The following is a 20889-nucleotide window of genomic DNA, read 5'->3' as shown; positions in this document are numbered from 1 at the left end:
AATATTATTTTAACTGTCCAACTCAGATATCTGAATATTTGCATGTGATTCTAATATTTTAGATTGGAACCAATTTTTATATATCACTCATTTTTTTCACTTGTTGTAAGTGAAGGTGAGGGTGTGCCCAGAAGAGTTTTATTAATAGTTATGAGATCAAAAAACTGTGGCAAACTTTTACATATTCTTTTTTTCCTCATTATCTTACCTTGTATTTATGTCTTTTTCCTTTAATTATATTGAATGGGTGTTAGAATTTGGTAACTGTACTGTATTTATCTTCATAGTATGACAGCATTAATCAGCCTTGCTTATAGTAAGTGAGGAGGTTCACTTCAGACCCAAATTCCTGTGTGTGATCTTTCAGGCTTGACCATAGACAATTGCAAGGCTTTTTCTGGCATAGGGGAAGGTGCCCTCCCTACACCAAACTTGGTGTATAACCGGTGCATTACAGTCCCTGGAGGGAGTGGTAGTCAAGGATTCGGCCTCCCAGGCCAGCCACGCTCATTTGCATGTCTACACTCCCAACCCAGTGGTCTCTGTTTAGCAGCCTCCTTATTGGGACCTCACCTGAGGCATTTCCTGAGCACTTCTGCTAAAACATCTTTATTGAGGGTGTCAGCGGAGGCACTTTTCTACTCTAGTCCTTTTCTCTCTCACCCCCCATAAAGAGACAGAAGACTTTTGTTCAGTGCTGTAGGAAATGAGATGAATTCTCCCATCTGTGTCTCATCCACCTGACTCACCTGGTGCTGTTTCATGGGGAGAGATGGAACACTGAGGAGCTGGTGCCTCTTTTTTTTTTTTTTTTTTTTAAACCTCTTGACTTGCACTGTCACAGTAAGTGAATAAAGCTGTGATTGTTAGTTTCAGTTTAGCTTGTTGTCCTGATTGACTACCTGGACACCTGATGGCATGACCAAATGGGTGCAGTGAGAGGGTGATCATACAGTGCTGTTCTGTAAGAGCAAAAATCCTGACAGTCCCATGGGGGCACTTCGCTGCTCATGCTGTTGGGTCATGGGGGATGCTCACTGATTGTTTACAGGAAGTTTTTGATTCTGAGAAGAACGATTGTTAACAAGGAGATAGTCTTATTAAACTTAGTGCCTTGTGGGGTGTGTCACTACAGACTTCCTCCTTCAGAGTGTCCTAACAGGGGCAACTCTTCCTGAGGAGGAGGAAGGGATTCTGCTCCTAATAACCATTTTGTTACCCATGTGGATGCTCACCAGAAAGGTCCCTATGCTGAAAAAGGGGACCTTTACCAAGAGCAAACTGTTCGTCAGCTAAATGTGGAAAATGAATTGTTCCTTGCTCCAGAGCAAGCAGATGTGCAACCAGTTGCCTCCGGGATCCACAAGAGATGGCTCATGGAAATTCAGACAGGATCCCAGATTGGGCAAGAATGCATGGACTGCGACAGTTGTGAGAAGACACCATAACAACGTGAAAAAGCTGCTTGCTTGTCAGACCCCGGTCAAGGCTAACAATACTGTCCAGGGACAGGTTCATAAAGCCAGTGGGCCAGGATATTCTCAGCAGATAGAACATGGTGGGCCTCTCATTCTGTCTGTAATGTTCCTGTGGCTCCTGATTGCAGCTGACATGTCTCTGGGTTTCGCTTAGCCATTCCTATGTGTTCCAATGACTTGGGCCACACTGTCTAGGCCCTACAAGACCACCTTTGTTTCCTGTTCAGTTACCTTAAGAACACTGCATCTGATAATGACCCTGGATTTTTGGCCCAAGCTACACATCAGTGAGCCCAATTATGGGTGAAACAATGGGCTCGTCATATGCTGTAAACTCTGATCCGCAGGGTGGTTGAACATTTTAAGGGACAGTTAAAGGTTGGGCCTGACCAGCTGATGGTAAGGTACAGTACCCCTGCTGGACTGCACATCTTCAGGGGAGTGATCTGGGATCCCAGCACAGGAATTCCTCAATCCAATATTTCTCACGCGCATTTTATGAACACTGAGCCATCATTACCAGGAAATGGTGAGAACACTTCTAAAATCCAAGTTCCCAGATGCCAACCAAGGACCATTCTTAGAAACAGTTATTTCTAAGCATAGCAGCCTCAGGCTTCCTTTGGTACCTTTTCTAAACAGGTGTAAAATGTTCTAGAAGGGCAAGGAGCTTAGGCATCTGTTTGTGTTTCTACCAAGTCCTACTTTAATTCTTTTTCTTGGAGTCTTTCCTCCTAATTACTTTATCATTGATCAGTCCTCTGCTTTTATCTTTGAGATGTTTAATGGATAGGTCACTGAGTAAAAATTTTATGTAAAGTATTATTGAAGGAATTTGGGTCTTTCCCTTATATTTATCAATGTATTATCTCTGCCTATACTATACAGTTGTAAAGTGGACACAAACATACAATCAAACATTTGTTTTCTTGTTTTTTAGGTTTAAAGAAAATCGAAATGATGACATTTGGCTTGTAGATGTAAGTATGTAAATTTTATATGCTAATTACCCACCCCTACCATTTTAAGTATTATTTTCTATTCTACTCTACCCAAAAATGGCAGTAAACAGCTAGTGCTTATGTATATACTCAATTTGTTTTCTTAAGTATTACTATATTTGAGATTTTACATTAAAAAGAACCTTAGAGTTTTAAGGTTCCATGCGAGGGAACGTATTTTTGATGAAATTTTGGGGGTGAGAATATTAAGAGGAAAAGCTGGAACCCTGTCTTACAATGAGGTCAACTTTTGGATTATATCTTAATGATATAGGGTATGATTTTATTACAGAATTCACTCTTGCTTTCTTGATAGTTTCCAAGAGATTGAGTATATTAATATCACTTAGTCAAAGTCATATTTTCATCTTAACAGTGGACAAAATTAAAGTTTCACCTTCCTTTCTTTAAAGTTTGGAATATATTTAAACCTTATGATAGTTGAGATTTAACATGCCTCAGCAAAAAGTAGAATAGGAGCAAAAGAGATGGAAAAAGAATGGCAGAGTTGACAGATCACTGTTTAATTATTTCTCCTTTTCTGTATGTTTGAACATTTTCATAGTATAAAGTTAAAAAATCTTGTTTCATGAAAATATAACAAGTAGTTTGTAACATCACTTAATTAGGGGAACCTGAGTATCACCTCCACCATCTGGTAATTCTAAAGAAGAGTAAAAGACTGACTTCAGTTTAATCAACCTGGCTTGTCCCTATGCCAAACCAGTCATCTTAATGACCTCCCCTTCTTGCCAGTGGTTACAATAGAACTCAGCAAAGTCACCTACTATGTTGACATTTTTGTAATAGAAGTAGATTGATATTATCATTAACAATTAGGTGTGTATGTTGTATATATATGTTTATTTTGTGGATTCATTTTATATAAAACGTTTCATATAGAACATTTCCTTGGAAGTAAAGACATTTTTATTGTAAATTGTATATCTGTTTTAAATCAGTAGTCAATTAAAATGAGCTTAAGATAGTACCGGTTTTGAGGTATCTAGGTTTATGTTTGTATGTTTTGATCTTTCATTATGTATCTACTTTAAAAATTATATTTAAACTTCTTGTCTAAAACATTATTAGATCATTTAGTCAAAGGGATTCTTTAAATATTAAGATTCATATTTACTGTAGCACAACATTTTAATGGTTATCTTTTTTTGTTTGTTGTTTGTTTTTTTAAAACAAGTTTTATGCGCCATGGTGTGGCCATTGTAAAAAGCTGGAACCAATTTGGAATGAAGTTGGTCTTGAGATGAAAAGCATTGGTTCTCCAGTTAAGGTTGGAAAGATGGATGCTACTTCCTATTCTAGTAAGCCTTCACTTAGTTTATTATTTTACTGTTCTCACAGCAAAAACATTTATATGCAACAGTATTCAGGGTGGGAGGAAGACTTTTTTTTGCTCATGTAAAATTCAATTAACTTAATAATTTAAGACTGTATACTTTATGAGTTAAATGAATTAGCCATTGAACATGTAGCGTGTAGTGTGTGTTAATCTTATGCTTAACAGATGTTTAAACCATCCTTTCTCCTTTGAGCCCACTTCAGATGGTTTATATGAGGCAGCTGTAAAAGGATGAGTGTTAAACTATTGATATTGCTACTTGAGTTCAGAATCCGTTTTTTTCTGAGTAGCCTGAGATGTGCTGTAAAGAAAAAATGGGAACTTAAAGGACGAATTGAGTTAGGGTGAGTACAAGTGAGGATCAGGAAGCTTTTCACATTAGAAAGAATACTAGAGCAAAATAATAGAGTGTGAAAGAGGTTAATGAGTGTGTACTAGAGAATAGAATGAAGTGAAGGTGAGCAAACCTTGGTCTGTAGGCCAAATTTCTCCTACTACCCATTTTTATAAATAGAGTTAGATTGAAGCATAGCTATTTGTTATCTGTTTATGGCTGTTTCTGTGCCTCCATGGCAGAATTCCGTAGTTGTGACAGAGGCTGTATGCCCCAGAAAGCCTAAAATATTTATCTGACCTTTTATACCGACACCTGTTTTAAAGGATTTGGGAAAAAGAAGAAGTTAAATTTAGAGAAGTGTGAGGTATCATAGAATTTGGAAAGAGCATGGCTTTCAGAGAGCAGATTTTGATTCAAATCCTCGCTCTGCCTGCTACTTTTGCTGTGTAACACTGAGAAAGTTTCTGAACAAACCAATCTTTGGTTTCCATATTGATAAATACTTAATTATAATGCTTCTTTTATTGGTGGTTTTGAGGTTTGAATGATCCAGCAGATATAAAATCTTTTGTATTCAATACCTGCAGTTTCTCTTTCATTAGTGAAGAAAGTGGAAGTACGTAATGTATATTTCGTTTTAGGAAATCAGCAATTTTACTTTGGAGCAAGACAGAGCTATGTTTTAATCTCAACTTTGCCATGTCCTACTTTTGTAGCTTTGGGAAGCACTTAACCTCTCTTAATTTTAGTTTCTGTAGCTACAAAGGAGAGTAATAATCCTCAAGGTTGTGGAAATCATGTTAATATCTTGTATTTAAAACCCCCTAGCACAATGGCTGCACGTATATGACACTAAAGGATAATGCCACATTGTTAAGAGCTTCCCAGGTCAGGCAGTGTTTTGGATTTTATCACTTGTCAGTATGAGGTAATACACATTTTTGTGAAGGCAATGACTTGATAAAAATAATTTTGTCAGCAGCTTTTAGGATGGAAAATAAAGAGTTTGTAGAAACAGGGAGATCATCTAAGTCAGCCTTGTGTATATATCCTGGTGTTGGATGCTGGGAGCCTGCTGTTGTGGGTGGTGACAGTAGAGTACAATGGAAACGGTAATTTTCATAGACATGTCCCATACTAAAATCACAGAAGTAACAGATTGGTTGGCTTTGTACTGTGAAGAAAACAATAATAGTGTGAGATTCCTAGCATAGTTGCTGAACTATGCTACCACTGGGTATATACAAAATATCAGTTTTAATTTTATGTGCATTTCTAAGTTACCAATGATTTTGAATTTGTGGTCTTTTAACTGATGTTTGTGAATAGGGACCTACAGTGTAGGTGAGATATTAGTGCTGGAATTATTGAGTCACCCAAATGAAACGTTGAAATTTTGAGAGGAGAAGAGATAAATGGCAGAAATTGTTAGAGAGGGAGAATAATATGTTTGAGTTGATATTTCTTTGAAATAAGCTTTTAACAATGTCTAAGAAGTTATCGTTTTCCACTGTTGCTCATGAAAGTAATTTCTTGTTTCCATATATATATATACACACATATATATACACATATACACATATATATACACATATATATACACATATATACACATATACACATATATACACATATACACATATATATACACATATATACACATACACATATATGTACACATATACACATATATACACATATATATACACATATATACACATATACACACATATATATGTTGATTAGATGTGCATACACATATTTATTCATAGATGCGCTTATTCATGTATTCACTCAATCAATATTTACCAAGTACTATTTGTCAAACACTGTGCTAATCTCTAGAGATTAAAGAAAGATCCAGACAAATCTTGCTTGTCCTGGAAATGCTTACAACATAATAAAGGGAGAAAGATGAATAAACCAACAAGAGCAGTAAGTCTCAAAAATGGCAAATTGCTGTGATCACTTGAATAGGTCAGTGGAGTCATCGAGTCATGTATAAAGGAATGTGGGACTATGAAGATAAACAGTCAATGAGAAAAATAGTGCATATAAACCAGTAAAAGTCTTAGTGGTAAAGTGTTCATGTAATACTTCATTGATAATTAACAATTTTCATTGTCACATTCTATATTGTATCTAATTCATTAGTTTATTCAGTATTAAGTGCCCCTGTGTACTACTGTTTATTAAGTGGCACTATGATTAGGGAAAAACATAGCCAAGATTGTTTTCCTGAGACACTTAGAGAAGAAAGTGTTTTAAATGCTATTTTTAAAAAGCAGTAGTAAGACCTCATATACAGGTTGCGACTTTTTACTCATTGGATATGGATAAACCTCCACCATCCCCCTCTCTCAACTACTTGCCCCCGACCTTGGATAGTGTGGCTTGCTTGGAAAGCCTACTTGAATTATCCAAACATAGTTAATTGAAAAAAAAAAAAAAGTCCCTTTGTAGAAAAGTTGTGGAGTTAGCATTCATTCATTTAGCAGACACTTAATGTGCTTACCATGTTAGGATATGCCTGGCACATACCAGGGTACTGGTGATACATCATTGAGCAAAACAGATTAAACTTTCTAGTCTTATGGAACTTATATTCTTGTGGGAAGAGACAAACAGTAACTTGTGAACATAAGTCAATTGTCTAATGTTATTTTCTAGACCATTATTAGAGTTAAATGTCAGTGATGGAAGCATTATCCACTTAAATATTAGCACCAAGGGAATGTGTTATGTGTAGTGAAGCAACCTTTCTTCCTAGTGTTAAAGAAGTTAAGTATTCAAAACCACCGTTCACATATTACAAACAGATTTTTGCCTTGTGAATTTCAGAGTTTGCCTAAATTTTTAAGGCAGTTGAAATACAGACATTTTAGTAGAACTTGGAATCAAACAGGTAAAAAATGGAATTACTTTCAAGTCATCTGCCATTGTTATTCTAAGTCTACCTGTAGAACACTAAAGGATTGGCTGTTTCATAGATACCTCTTGCGGCCAGTAGGTTGCTTTTCAGACAGTTGCGGTATCACTGTTCCTCAGCATGTAATCTGTAGACGACCTGCAATAGAATTACCTGGGTACTTATTGTCAGTTCAGATTCTGAAGGCCCACACCAGTCCTACTGGTGAACAGTGAAAATCTTTGCAATTGGGTCTTGAGAGTCTGTATTTTTTATTTTATTTATTTTATTTCTTTTATTTTATTTCTTTATTTCTTTATTTTTTTGAGACAGAGTTTTGCTCTTATTGCCCAAGCTGGAGTGCAAAGGTGCAATCTTGGCTCACTGCAACTTCCGCCTCCCGGGTTCAAGTGATTCTCCTGCCTCAGCCTCTCGAGTAGCTGGGATTACAGGCATGTGCCACCACACTCGACTAATGTTTTGTGTTTTTAGTAGAAACGGGGTTTCACCATGTTAGCCAGGCTGGTCCCAAACACCTGACCTCAGGTGATCTGCCGTCCTCCTCAGGTGATCTGCCTGCCTCGGCCTCCCAAAGTGCTGGGATTACAGGCATGAGTCACTGTGCCCAGCCGAGAGTCTGTATTTTTAGCAGCACTTCAGATGATTCCACTGCACACTGAGTTTGGAAAACCACAAAGTGTAGAATGTTATTTTGGTAGAGAGTTACAGGGTTTTAGTCCGGGGTGAGATAAGACTATTCAAAGTGATCAAGTTTATATACATTTCTAGGAGTCTTTGATAATAACTCATTTCTCAATCATGTATTAAATCATTGCAGTGGTTGGAAGCAAATGCCATCAGACTCAGTCCAGCAAATCTGTGTGTACAGAATTTTTGAACTAGAGAAATTTGAACTATTATGACTTAGTCTAGTCTGTGTTTGGAATTGTACCAAAATGTCTTGATGCATGGATTTAACTAATACCATAACCAAATAATATAAAAATTATGTCCAGTGTAAATTCAGATAGGTGTTTTAGCTTCTCTTTTTGTACATACCTCTTCAAAATGAGTGCTAAAATATTTCTCATTTGGAAGTTAAAATATGACATAATATTACCTGTAGTGGCATGCTGATCTTTATTATGGAACCACTGAAATTCTGTTACTCTCCAACCTAAGTGTGACATCATTTTATGATAAAGATCACATTTTAGCTCTCTTTCATGTGTAAATTTGGAATGACATTTGGCCAATAACATTCTGACATCTTGTTCGTAGATTGTAGTTAAAAATTAATTTTGCCTTTCTAGATTATAAACTCTTTTTGGTCAGTGACTGTTTCAGGGCTTCTCAGCCTTGCATTATTGACATTTTTGGGCTGGATAGTTCTGTGGGTTTTTTTGTTTGTTTGTTTTTGGTGCAGAGGAAGTCAGTGACTGTGTTTCAGGGTTTATCAGCCTTGCACTATTGACATTTTGGACCAGATAATTCTGTGGGGTTATTGTTGGGAGTTGGATGGGAGGAGGAATCCTGTGCATTGTGGGATGTTTAGGAGCTTCCCTCACCTCTGCCCACTAGATACCAGTTGTGTTCTCTCCCAATCTCCTCCTACCCCCTTACTCACTGTTTTTAGAAAACAAAGTGTCTTCAGTTGATGGTAAACCACTGCCATATGTTATACCTTTTTCATGTTAGACACATAGTGACATTCAGTAAATACTAAAACAGGTAGTATCCTTGAGCTAAAAAGGACTTTAGAGGTTGAGTAACTCCTGACTCCTTTCGCCCTTTCCCATTTTATAGATGAAATAACAAGGTAACTAGAAGTGAAATGACTGAGTAATTTTGCACATCAAAGTTAGAAACAGAATTAGGCCTAGTATCCAAGATCACCATGATTCACATTCCTACTTACCTCTAGCATCAAACTGTTACCATTTCAAGAAGAAAATAGAAATGAAGTAGAAGACTTCATGTTGAATCTTGTTTTATAAACATTTAAAATCGTAAAACTTCAAAGCTATAACTCTTGTTGCAAATGGACTCTTCAATTTATGAAGGAATTGAGCTCAGATTTCTATATAAACTATTTCTCTCTAATATGAAAAAGTAAAGAATAAAAAAATTTAAAGTCAATTAGACTGAGTTTCAATCTCAGCCCCGCTACCTAATCAATGTTTGCTCTCAAACAAGTTACCGAATCTTCCTGTTTTAGTTTCTTAATCTGAATTACCTTTTTTTCTTCCTTACAAAATTGTTTGCTCTCAAAAGAGTTACCGAATCTTCCTGATTTAGTTTCTTTATCTGAATTACCTTTTTTTCTTCCTTACAAAATTGTTTGCTCTCAAACGAGTTACCGAATCTTCCTATTTTAGTTTCTTAATCTGAATTGCCACTAGTTTTTCCTCCTCACAAATTTGTTTTGAGGTGCAATTTTAAAATATTAACGCCAGTTATAAAATATTCTGCACATTAATTTTATTAATACTATGTGTGCATTGATGTGTCAGCAGCTAATTAATGAAGTCAGGATCAAGAGTAGAAAGGAAAAGGATCTAGCATTTAAGAATCTTCTATGTGCTAGACTCAGATTGTGTTCCATCTATTTTTTCGTTTTAAAATCCCAACCTGTAGCCCTACGAGATGAGTAGTATTCTCAGAAGGGGAATCAGAGAAGTAAACAAAAACATCCAGAGTTACATAGGCGATAAATGAAGTTAGAGTCCTAACTGGGGTCATTATGTGTTTATAACTCCCGCTTTGTTTGCTTTTTTTTAAATTTTTGTTTGTTTGTTTGTTTGTTTTGAGACAGAGTCTCACTCTGTCACCCAGGCTGGAGTGCTGTGGCTCCATCTCAGCTCACTGTAAGCTCCGCCTCCCAGGTTCACACCATTCTCCTGCCTCAGCCTCCCGAGTAGCTGGGACTACAGGCACCCGCCACCGCGCGCGACTAATTTTTTGTAGTTTTAGTAGAGACGGGGTTTCACCATGTTAGCCAGGACAGTCTTGATCTCCTGACCTTGTGATCCACTGGCCTCAGCCTCCCAAAGGCTTTTTTTAAATGTTATACTGTCATTCCCTTTTAGAGGAATCTAAGACTGAAGTTTTATAGAAGTTACTGTCAATTAAAATTATGTCAGAAGCGAAGGTTAATGTTAACTGTCAAGAAGCCAAGGGATGTGGGTTGGGTGATAGATCTCCATTGTCTCGATGTGAATACTGAGGTCGAGGAAATGATGTAATAGGGTTAAGTGTGGAGCTGGGATTTTTCTCTCTGAGGCTTATCATGGGATCCACAATATCAGGCTATGAAGCATGACCAGTGTGTTTTCTCATTGATTGCATACTGTATTTTCTTTATTTGATTTGTGTATAAATACATTTTGATATAATTTAAGTTATACAAAGGGATTACTAGTGGAATATAACTTTGTCCCCCAATCAATTATATTAGTCCTTATGTTTTGACAGTTTTTTAAAATGAGTTTTAATTGAAGGTAATAAGGGATTTTATTTCCCTGTCTTCTTAATTTGGAAAGGGGTCATTAAAAATATTCGTTATTCACATAATCTCCCCAAAGTAGTTTCTGTGTTTTTGCTGGGAAGAAAGCAGTCTCCATACCCACAGTCTCCAATTAGAACATACTTGACAGAATGAAGTCCTAGATTACAGACGGGCACAAATAAATTATGTGCTTGCTCTGAGTTTGCATGTCTGTTCAGAAGCAGGACCTGTATCTTCAGAACTTGAGTTCTTAATTGTTACCTCTGCTGTTTATGCTACCTCTTAGGAAGATACGTGTCGGCCACTGTCCAGGTCCCTCTATTTACCTATCTCCATGTTTAAGGGAGAAACTAGAGTTGACAAATGAAGGAAAAATTTTGGATATTTTCACAAATCGACTGCCCTTATTCTTGTGAATTGAATTGGTGAGTTGATGAGAAACCAAAGATTAGTGAAGATTACTAAAGTGATTGTTAAATTGGAATTCAGATGTAGTAGCTTCCTTACCCAAGTGTGATAACAAAATACCCTGGAAACAAAGACAATTATAAAGGGAAAGATCATGTGAATAATACAGTGGACTTTTCATATACTAGTGTATAGTTTTGTAAATATCTTTATGGTATAACGTGTGTTAACTGAGAATATTTTATTTCTTCTTTCCTGTCCTGGTGGCGTTTTGTCTGTAAAGTAGTGTTGCATTAATTTGGCATATGATTTCTCTACTGTTTAAGGTCTTATTTCCCTCTTTATATTTGCTTGTTTTTGTTACTATTTCTCCTTTCCCTGCAGAAGATGATATTGTAGCAACTATTCTCATTTTAATTCATGTGAGGATTTCAGAATAATCTTTGAGATAATTAAAATTACTCTAGGTTATCACAAAAGCAGAAACTCCTAAAACAAAGTTGCTTTTCGATCCTCTGTTGACCATAGTAATTAATTTTGCAAATACAAGTTATGCTTTTAAAATTAGAATACACTGCAGTTATTTGAAAACTCAAAAAACACTAAAAGAAGAGATGGGCTTTTTTTTTTTTTTTTTTTTTTTTTTGAGAGGAGTAAATGAGACCTAGAAGAAATATTTGTCTTGGACATGAAGTCAAATGAGAAGTACTTACGTATTTTTATTTTTATTTTTTTTACCAGTATATCTTTTAAAATAAGTATTTTATAAATTTTTAACTATTCTTTTGACGTGCATTTCTTATTTTGTCATAGTATTTTGTGCAGGTCACAGATTGGACTATTAAGTAATTGTTTTCTATGAGAATGTCATGTTTTTTTCTTTTGTGTGATTTTATAATCTTAAGACTTAAAAACAACGTATCTATATGGGTTGTATAAATATCTCTATTTTTAAAGTAAAAGCCTCATTTGTTACCTAGTTTCTCATATTTAAAAAAAATTTAGAATGCTTTATTCTTTTTCTTATCAAGGCATTGCTTCAGAGTTTGGAGTTCGAGGTTATCCAACAATTAAGCTGTAAGTTGAGTGTTGTATGTTTATATGTGTATTTTTATTAGTTCACTCTACTTACATTTTATTACGTTAATTTCTAGTAGATTCCCTGGAGGATTGAAGATTGGGGTTTGGCCATTCTTCATAGGTGAAGTATGTAATTAAAGGAGAGGGACTGCTTCTTTATGCTTTTCTTCGTATTTAAGCAATCATGTTGTTTATGGCTAATTCACGTGTTTTGCTTGCTGTGTGACACGCACTGTGCAGGACAAGTATACAGTCATAAATTATGAAAGGTCTTTTACCCTTGAGGAGTTCAAGTGTGGATTGTGAGATAAAAACAGAATCAAAGTTGATGATACTCTAATCTGTAGGTGTTGATCAAGTCTAATAAAGTGTACAAGTTGAAAGAAATGTGATAATTCTAAAGGACTTGTTTTATCATGACTTCATTGAATTTTCTCATGATTTTCATTAATCTTATTTTGGTAATGTGGGGAGCTGTGGAATTGTTCGGAAAGTTATTTTTATAATAACGTAAGTTTAAAAAATATTTTAACATCTCAAATTTTTAAATTTGAGTAATTTCAATTTATATATTGGGTTTTGTGTCGACCTTTTTCCTTCCCCCACTTTTTAAAAATGTTTGCTTAGCCTCTTACTTTTTGTGTTAAGTAAATCATCCTTTCGTTTCCTTCTGTTTAATTGTAGGTATTCTGTTGTGCTTCCCAATTTTTCCTTTTTAAAATTTTAGTTAATTAGGCACACAGATTAATTCATTGGTTGGCTTTTGAAGAATTATGTACGTTTCTAGAAGAGCTGTTTTTAATGCATCGTTTTACTCTGTAATGTTGGAGCATCAAGTAACTGTCATGTTGTATTGCTTAACATTTGTTTTGCCTCTTCTAAAATACTCTTATTTCCCTGTCCTTTCATTTACCTTTTGACAGGGAAGGTAATGAGAATTATAGTACTTTAATTTTCCAAGCTCTTGACCATGAATGTGTAGATTATTTTTCAGAAGGCGTAGATACAATGCAGTTATCAAATGCAGAGTAAGATATTTTCATGTAATTTTAATAGAATACAGCCTCTTTTCTTTTGTGTTACTGGTCCTCTGGCAAGCCTAATGTCTACCATATTTTACATGAGAGCTACTTCTAAAACTTCTCTGCATTTACTATTTTATGTAATATAATTTTATGAAACAATAGATAATGATTAACATTAAATATTAAAACTGTTAGAACAATCCAGGTTTTAATTTTTTTTTTTTTTTAAAGATTAAAAGGGGACTTGGCATATAATTATAGAGGACCACGAACAAAAGATGATATTATTGAGTTTGCTCACAGAGTATCTGGGTAAGTTATTAGGAAAGGCCTTTACTGTATGTTATTAATATTTGAAAATTAAATATATTTTAATAGACTGTATTGAACAAACATATTTTAAGGACATACCTAGGTAAAATTTATTTGATTATTTACTTATGAGAGAAGATAGGATTATACAGCGTATCCAAAGAAATACTTTAAAGAAAGAGACCATGGTTTGTATTACATACTTGTTAACCTCACATTTAAATTCATTTTGTCTATAGAAGAATTTTCCCCAGAGATTTTTTAATACATTTTCCAGATTTCGATTACGTGTAGCAACTCTGTGAATCTTAATTTTTATTTTATGATAATTTTGCTTTTGGACTGCCTGGTTCAGAGTTTTCAACAAAGCCTTGGGATATTATTGTTCTGAACAGACTTGGGCTTTCATCCATACTCTTTGATACTCGAAAATGTATTTTAGATACAGCTAAAATATTTTTCCTTATTTATCACATACTGCTTCCTGCCAGCTGTGAGGTATTCGTGCATTTTATACTTAGAATGTGACATAGTTAAAACCCAAAGGATCTGTTCAAGTTACCGATCCCTAAGGTTTTACTGATAAGGAAACAAATTCCTCTGTAAGCACTTTTTGTTGGTTTGAATTTGTCGTTGATTTTTTTAAATCTACATTTTGATGGGATATAAAGAAAGTCGGTGCTTATAATTATTTCACATGATTATGTGAAAGTTCTTGAGAATGTTCAAGCTGTGTTAATCTTTATTGGCTTTAAAGTATAGGCACTTATGAGTTTAATGGGATATATTATACTGATAGCTTTAAATAGCTTTAAGGTAAATTAAAATAAAATGAGTTTGTTGGTGGCACAATACTGTCTCAAATTATTTGAGACAATTCAGAGGATTAGGAGTGATCTTTATATATTAAAGTTTGTGGTGCTTACTAATGTAATTTTCACTGTATTTTCTTGTCGACCGTGTTTCATTTGATTTCCTTTGTGAATAAATAAATTTTGAAATAACTTTATGTTGTATGAGGGGAGTGCTAGCGGGAGGTACTGAATCCTCCCAGGATTTATATTAGTCATTATGTTTGAGAAATTTTTAATGAGTTTTGGTTTAGGCTTAAGAAGGGATTCTCCTGATGTAATTGGAGATGACTATTGTAGATGAAATTTCAGGAGTCAGTTCTGGAGTTGCATCACTTACATTTAGTTACTAAGTATTAAAATTGAGGCTAGGGTAGAGTGATGATGCAATGCATCATAAAGAATTTTGAAAATGTATTTGCCTTTCTATGTTCTTTTTATAAATGTGATAGAGTGAAAATTATGTATTGTAATATACACACCATATGTAAAAGATGACTACCTCTTCTTAGTTTTTGGTTTTTTTTTTTTTGAGGCGGAGTCTCGCTCTTTCGCCCAGGCTGGACTGCAGTGGCGCTGTCTCGGCTCACTGCAAGCTCCGCCTCCCGGGTTCACGCCATTCTCCTGCCTCAACCTCCCGAGTAGCTGGGACTACAGGCGCCCGCTACCACGCCCGGCTAATTTTTTTTTTTTGTATTTTTAGTAGAGACGGGATTTCACCGTATTAGCCAGGATGGTCTCGACCTCCTGACCTCATGATCCACCCGCCTCGGCCTCCCAAAGTGCTGAGAGTACAGGCATGAGCCACCGCCCCCGGCCCTCTTCTTAGTTTTTTAATGATATTTTATAATTGACACGCTTAATAACCTATGACGTAATTCATTGCTCAATCTATTTGCTTTGAAAAATGCTTGTATAACATTTTTTGTTTTCTCTTCATGAGGTTCTTATGTAGTGCTATGACTATCATTTTCTATTTTATTTTTTCTGTAAATGATTAATGATATGCTTTTTATACTCTTTGGATTTTAACCTCCATAGGGTACTTAAAAAGTATATACCATTTAAATTGACATAGTAAGATACAAATATTCTTAATGAAGTACTGTATATTCCTGGGATGGTATTCACAGTGTTTTTGTGAATGATCTTTTGAAAGGGAGAAAAAAATAACTCTCTTGGGAATTGTCTTGTTTTAGGCTGAGGATTCTAAATGGACAATACTTCTCTTTTTGCCCATCAAAATACTAGTAATGATGGTACTCTCTGAATGGATGTTTTGACACTTATTTTGAAACTGATAGATTAAATTGTGGGTACTATATTAACCTTTTATGTATGTGCAATAGTAGTCATGGACCACAGTTTTATTATATTCATGTGGATTTTGTGATATACTTAAAATGCAGTTGATATATTATTGAAACTTAATAACTTGAGACATGATTAGTTATAGTATAAATAGTAAATTATGTACTTTAGTTTATAATTCAAGTTTGTTTTTTGTTTTGTTGTGCAACAGGGCTCTAATTCGGCCACTTCCAAGTCAACAAATGTTTGAACATATGCAGAAGAGACACCGTGTATTTTTCGTTTATGTAGGTGGAGAATCACCTTTGAAAGTAAGACTTTTTTTTAATCCACAAAAACAGATGTATTGTAATTTAATTTACTCTATAATCAAGACTTCACTAGAAACGCAGAACTTATTACTCTGCACTTACTGGAAATATTTTCATTCATTCTAAGCATTTCTTATAATAAAAACACTTCCTTCTATACCTTCTGTCATGTTTTCCTATATGAAACAGAAGTGTGTAAAAAGTGAGTAAATGTTGCCTGCCTTAGCATTTTTTTCTGTTATTAACCTGGTTATTTAAGTCTTGTGTTGCTTTTTCAAATTCTGAGTCTTTGAGACTGCAGACTTTGTATGTGTGTATACACACATATCTTCCTATAATCATCACCATCATTTTGTCTAATTTATAATTAAATGAATACATACAAATTGAACTTGTGTTATATTTAATGAACTTTATTTGCAGAAAGATAAAAGCTCTTAATTACGTTGGCCTTTGCCTTGGAAACAATTTTATTTGCTTACATTTCTTCTCTTCACCTAAGAGGATGTAAGGTAGCACATTAAGGTGATGACTCTTACTACATAAGGTAACTCTCATTGTTTAATGAGGAATGAATTTTGGCCTTTAATATTTTTCAATGATCTTTTTTCTGTTTGTATCTTCATAGGAGAAATACATAGATGCTGCTTCAGAATTGATTGTATATACATACTTCTTTTCTGCCTCAGAAGAAGTGGTTCCTGAGGTAATATTTAAAATTTGATTTTAACGACACAATTTTATTTATTAAATTATTACTTGATTTAATAAACTAAATTGTGATTTTATTACTTGATTAAATTATTGATTTTAATATCAGATTTATTTACTGTGATATGTTTGGAAAAAGTAAACATGCTGATTCTTTACTACTGGTATTAGATTGCTTTTTATTAATAAATACCATCAGATTCGTAGCATTTAGGGATTTACATTAGTGCTTCTTGTTTTTTAAAATAAAAGTAGTGATGACAAGTGATACCTCAAACTCCTAAATTGGCTTACAAGTGGTGGATTATTTTGCGTGCGTATGTGTGTGTGTGTGTGTGTGTGTTGCAGATACAGTCTTTTTTGGGTCCTCAAACTGAGATAGTAGTCCTCAGTAAACAAATCAATAAACAGGATATCATAAGTGCTATGAAAAAACAAATTAAAGGCCAGGCGCAGTGCCTCATGCCTGTAATCCCAGCACTTTGGGAGGCCTAGACAGGTAGATCACCCGAGGTCAGGAATTCGAGACCAGCTTGGCCAACATGGTGAAATCCTATCTCTACTAAAAATACAAAAACTAGCCAGGCATGGTGGCACGTGCCTGTACTCCTAGTTACTCGGGAGGCTGAGGCAGGAGAATCACTTGAACCTGGGAGGCAGAGGCTGCAGTGAGACAAGATTGCACGACTGCACTCCAGTCTGGGTGACAGAGTGAGACTCTGTCTCAAAAAAATAGTAATAATAATTAAGGCCGGGCCCAGTGGCTTACGCTTGTAATCCCAGCACTTTGGGAGGCCGAGGCAGGCAGATCACAAGGTCAGAAGTTTGAGACCAGCCTGGCCAACATGTTGAAACTCCATCTCTACTAAAAATACAAAAATTAGCTGGGTGTGGTGGCGCACGCCTGTAATCCCAGCTACTCAGGGGGCTGAGGCAGGAGAATTGCTTGAACCAAGGAGACAGAGGTTGCATCAAACCAAGATGGCGCCACTGTACTCCAGCCTGGGCGACAGAGTGAGACTCTGTCTCAAATGATAATAGTAATAATCATAATTTAAAAAATTAAAAAACTGTGTAATAGTTGGGGCAAATAGGAGTGGGATGGGTGCTGTAGGTTGATTGGTCAAGAAATGTTTGTCTCAAGAAAATACTTGAACTGAGACTTTTACGTGATATGAAGGAGCCGTGCAAAGATCTGTGGATACAATACGCCAGAAACGAACAGATAACAGATGTCCAAAATGCGAACACACCTGACATGATGCAGGAACAAAACAGTAGGCCAATGTGACTGTAGTGCCTACAGTGTGATGGGAAGTGGGTGGAGGGCAGTGTAGGCATTGTAAGTCATGGCAGTGCATGTGATGAGGTTGAAGTTGGTGAAGAACATGGATTGATGTTCTTGTTTAAGGACATTACTCTGTGCTAAGCGCAGAGTGCGTTAGATAGGTATGCGTAGATCCACAGATACCAACTGAACTTTTGCGGTAATCTAAGAAATTTGGGCTTGATGGTTAGTGAGGGTTGGGAAGAAGTGAAAGGATTGTTGTGTTTAGAAGATAGAATTGTCAGAGCTTGCTGATATGGAAGAATAGGGATGAATTGAGGGTGACTCTTAGATGTTTTGGTTTGAACAATTGGGTAGAGGGTGGTGGTTGATGAACTTGAGGAATTTTGGAGAAGGAAGAAGTTGAAAATATGGAGGGTGAAAAGTGCTTTGAATTATTCATTTTAATTTGATTCAGCATGTCATATTAGGAATCTAAATATAAGCATCAAATAAGCAGTTGGACATAGGGGTCTAGAGTTAAGTCAAGGCTATGTAAAAGAACCTTCCCAGACATGGGAAGCAATTTTTTAAGGAAATGAGTAGGCCCAGAACCTGAGGTCAGCAAAGGAAAGTGAGAAGAAATAGTAAATTAGGAAAAAGAGATGAGCTGGAAGCCAAGACGAAGTGTTTTAAAAGAAGTGAACAGTTTGTGTGAGAATTTTGCAAAGTGATCAAGAAAATAATGAGAGAAAAATAACCACAATGTGTGTCCACATGGAGGTTGTTGGTGGTTTTCAGAGGAGTAATGGGGAGAAAAACCTCATTGGTGTTTGAGAGACACTGATGGCAAGTAAGAAAGTGGAGACCACAAGTATAGTCTTCTCTTTAGGAAACTTTGAATGAGTAGGGGACCTTAGGAATTTGGCAGTAATTCAGGGGAATTATGAAAGAAATGAAGGGAGCTTTTCTTTTTTTTTCTTTTGAATCTATAAATTATAAAAAAATTGAAATATTTTTCTTTTCACAAAGGTAAGTGAAACATTTCATTTCTTTTACATGATTTAATGTTTAAAGATTTTAAGATTACAGACTTGCCGAAGTAGGTGTTTAATGCTTCCTGCAATATGTATGTAGATGTTTATCTTATGTACCCCACAATGATTTTCAACTCCTGGAGGAACCTCAGTTTCTGGACAACTTAAACCCATTTTGGTTTGCCAAGTATTTTATGCGTATGTATTTACTTTTGGAGGGGAAATTAATGTCACGGGATCCTTAGGGTGTCGTTTCACCAGCCAGAAACCTCTGTGGCCACTGGCGCCTCTGCTTGGGTTTTGCTTGCGCCCACTGGGCTTATTCTACCCACTCAGCCTGGCAGGCTGCCCTTGGCTCATGCTACCGGCCCAGATCCTGTGCCTGCCAAGGACGAGCGAGGCATGGAGCAGCAAGGGATATGTGAGTGAACAAGCGTGGAATCTGGCCACTGCGCACAGCCAGGCATGCTGGCTGCCACGGGGAAGGCAGCTCCAGGCACCTGCTCCATGTGAGGCTGCGGCTGGACCAGATGTACTGCAAGTGGCTTCCACTGCAAGAACCAGCATCTAGACAAGGGGAACACAATGGTGCCTGAAAGCTCAGAGACGCCAGGAACTGCAGAGCCCTGAAGAGGGTATTACAGTGTGTCACAGCCCTGACTTGGGGAGCCCCAAAGTCTGGGTTCCCAGAAGGGTTACAGCTCTTCTCTCCTTCTTGTCACCTGCAACATGGTGACTGGGGGGTATGTTTCAGCCCTGTTTGCATTACAGCCCCTTCAGTCCCTCCATTCAGTGGGTCCCAAGTTCTTGTCCCGCATCCAGGAAGAATGAGGTACATGGACAACTGGAGGATGAGCAAGGTGGAGAGGAGCTTCATTGAGCAACAGAATAGCTCTTAGGAGACCCGAGTAGGTAGCTCCTTTCCACAGGCAGGTCATCCGGACAAGTCTGTGTTTCGCTTAGTCTGGGGTTTTTACGTGCTCAGAATCGAGGAAGTGCATGCTGAATGGTCCATGGGTGGCCACAGTCAGGCCTGGAAAAGGCACGATCCACTTGGCTGAATGGTCATCAGTGAAGTTCTTACTCCAGGCCGTGGACTTCACCCAGAACTAGTAGCCTGGCCCCCAGGCTTCAGGCCTTCCCTGGCCTGAAGTTGGGGTTTTACTGGGGACCCACCCCTTCCTGCCTAGGAACCTGTCTGACTCCCGCCGTCATCATCATACCGTCTATGGCACCCAGGCTGTTCATGCCGAGGAGCCAGCCTCCCTCCCACGCTTGTCAATGTCCAAAGTCTGGAGGAAGCCCAGGCACTGTTGGGAGCTGGCACGTCAGCGCCGCGCCAAGCACACACACACACCCGGCTAAGTTGCGACAACACTCAGGCTCGGCCACAACTTTGCTTCAAAATCAGAGCAGGCGCCAGGAGCAGGGAGAGTCCAGGGAGCAGGAGCAGGCATTTGTGAACCTGCAGGGGTTGGGGGGTGGGGGTGGCTGCTTTCCAGGCCCCGGAGAGCTCAGGGATGCCAGGGTCCAGAACCACTCCTGAGCAGCTTCAGCTATACCCGGGAGCGTGGGGCTCCCACCCCACGAACTTGGTAGCAGGTAGGACTCTCCCGCTTGTTCCCGGCCCCCGCTGGCTCCACGGAGCGTGCAGTCCCTGCTGCGCCTCCCCTGCTGCAGCTGGCATTCGCGCAGCAGCTGCTCCAGACGGGCTGCCACTGCCATGAGTAAGATGAGAAAAAGAGGCCACACTTGCCATCAGAGTCTCTGACAGCATTCCCAAAAGGTTTTTCTGGATTGCCTTAATGTAACATAAAGGATTAAAATGGACTAGAATCTGAACTTCTTATACATTTTTGTCTCCCAAGTCCAGTGAGCCACATTTTTGTATCAGAGATGAGAATTTATGCTAAGCCCTCATCTACAAAGCTTTGCAAGCAGTTGGCACTTGGAGTGCACCAGAGGGTTTGCTGTGTTCTAGGTG

At 37.2% G+C, this 20889-nt stretch overlaps 1 protein-coding gene across 10 annotated transcripts in view; it reads left to right on the top strand.

Moving 5' to 3' along the window:
* TMX3 (thioredoxin related transmembrane protein 3) overlaps positions 1-20889 on the top strand; it is a 41421-nt gene that overhangs the window by 1287 nt on the left and 19245 nt on the right. For 4 of the 10 annotated variants that reach the window (XR_935227.3, NM_019022.5, XM_011526034.4 and 1 more), the window contains exons 3-8: positions 2419-2458; positions 3678-3801; positions 12032-12077; positions 13337-13417; positions 15791-15890; positions 16519-16596. Coding sequence is in view for 9 of the 10 variants with exons in the window: in NM_019022.5 (NP_061895.3) it covers positions 2419-2458; positions 3678-3801; positions 12032-12077; positions 13337-13417; positions 15791-15890; positions 16519-16596 (469 nt within the window). In the remaining variant the exon portion in view is untranslated. Of the gene's footprint in view, positions 1-2418; positions 2459-3677; positions 3802-12031; positions 12078-12154; positions 12207-13336; positions 13418-15790; positions 15891-16518; positions 16887-20889 lie in introns of those variants that run through there. The other 6 variants (NM_001350514.2, NM_001350513.2, NM_001350517.2 and 3 more) reach the window with 5 other exon arrangements.

Source organism: Homo sapiens, chromosome 18 (assembly GCF_000001405.40).
Source record: "Homo sapiens chromosome 18, GRCh38.p14 Primary Assembly".
In the NCBI taxonomy this organism is placed as follows: domain Eukaryota; kingdom Metazoa; phylum Chordata; class Mammalia; order Primates; family Hominidae; genus Homo; species Homo sapiens.
This window is presented reverse-complemented; position numbering and strand designations above follow the sequence as displayed.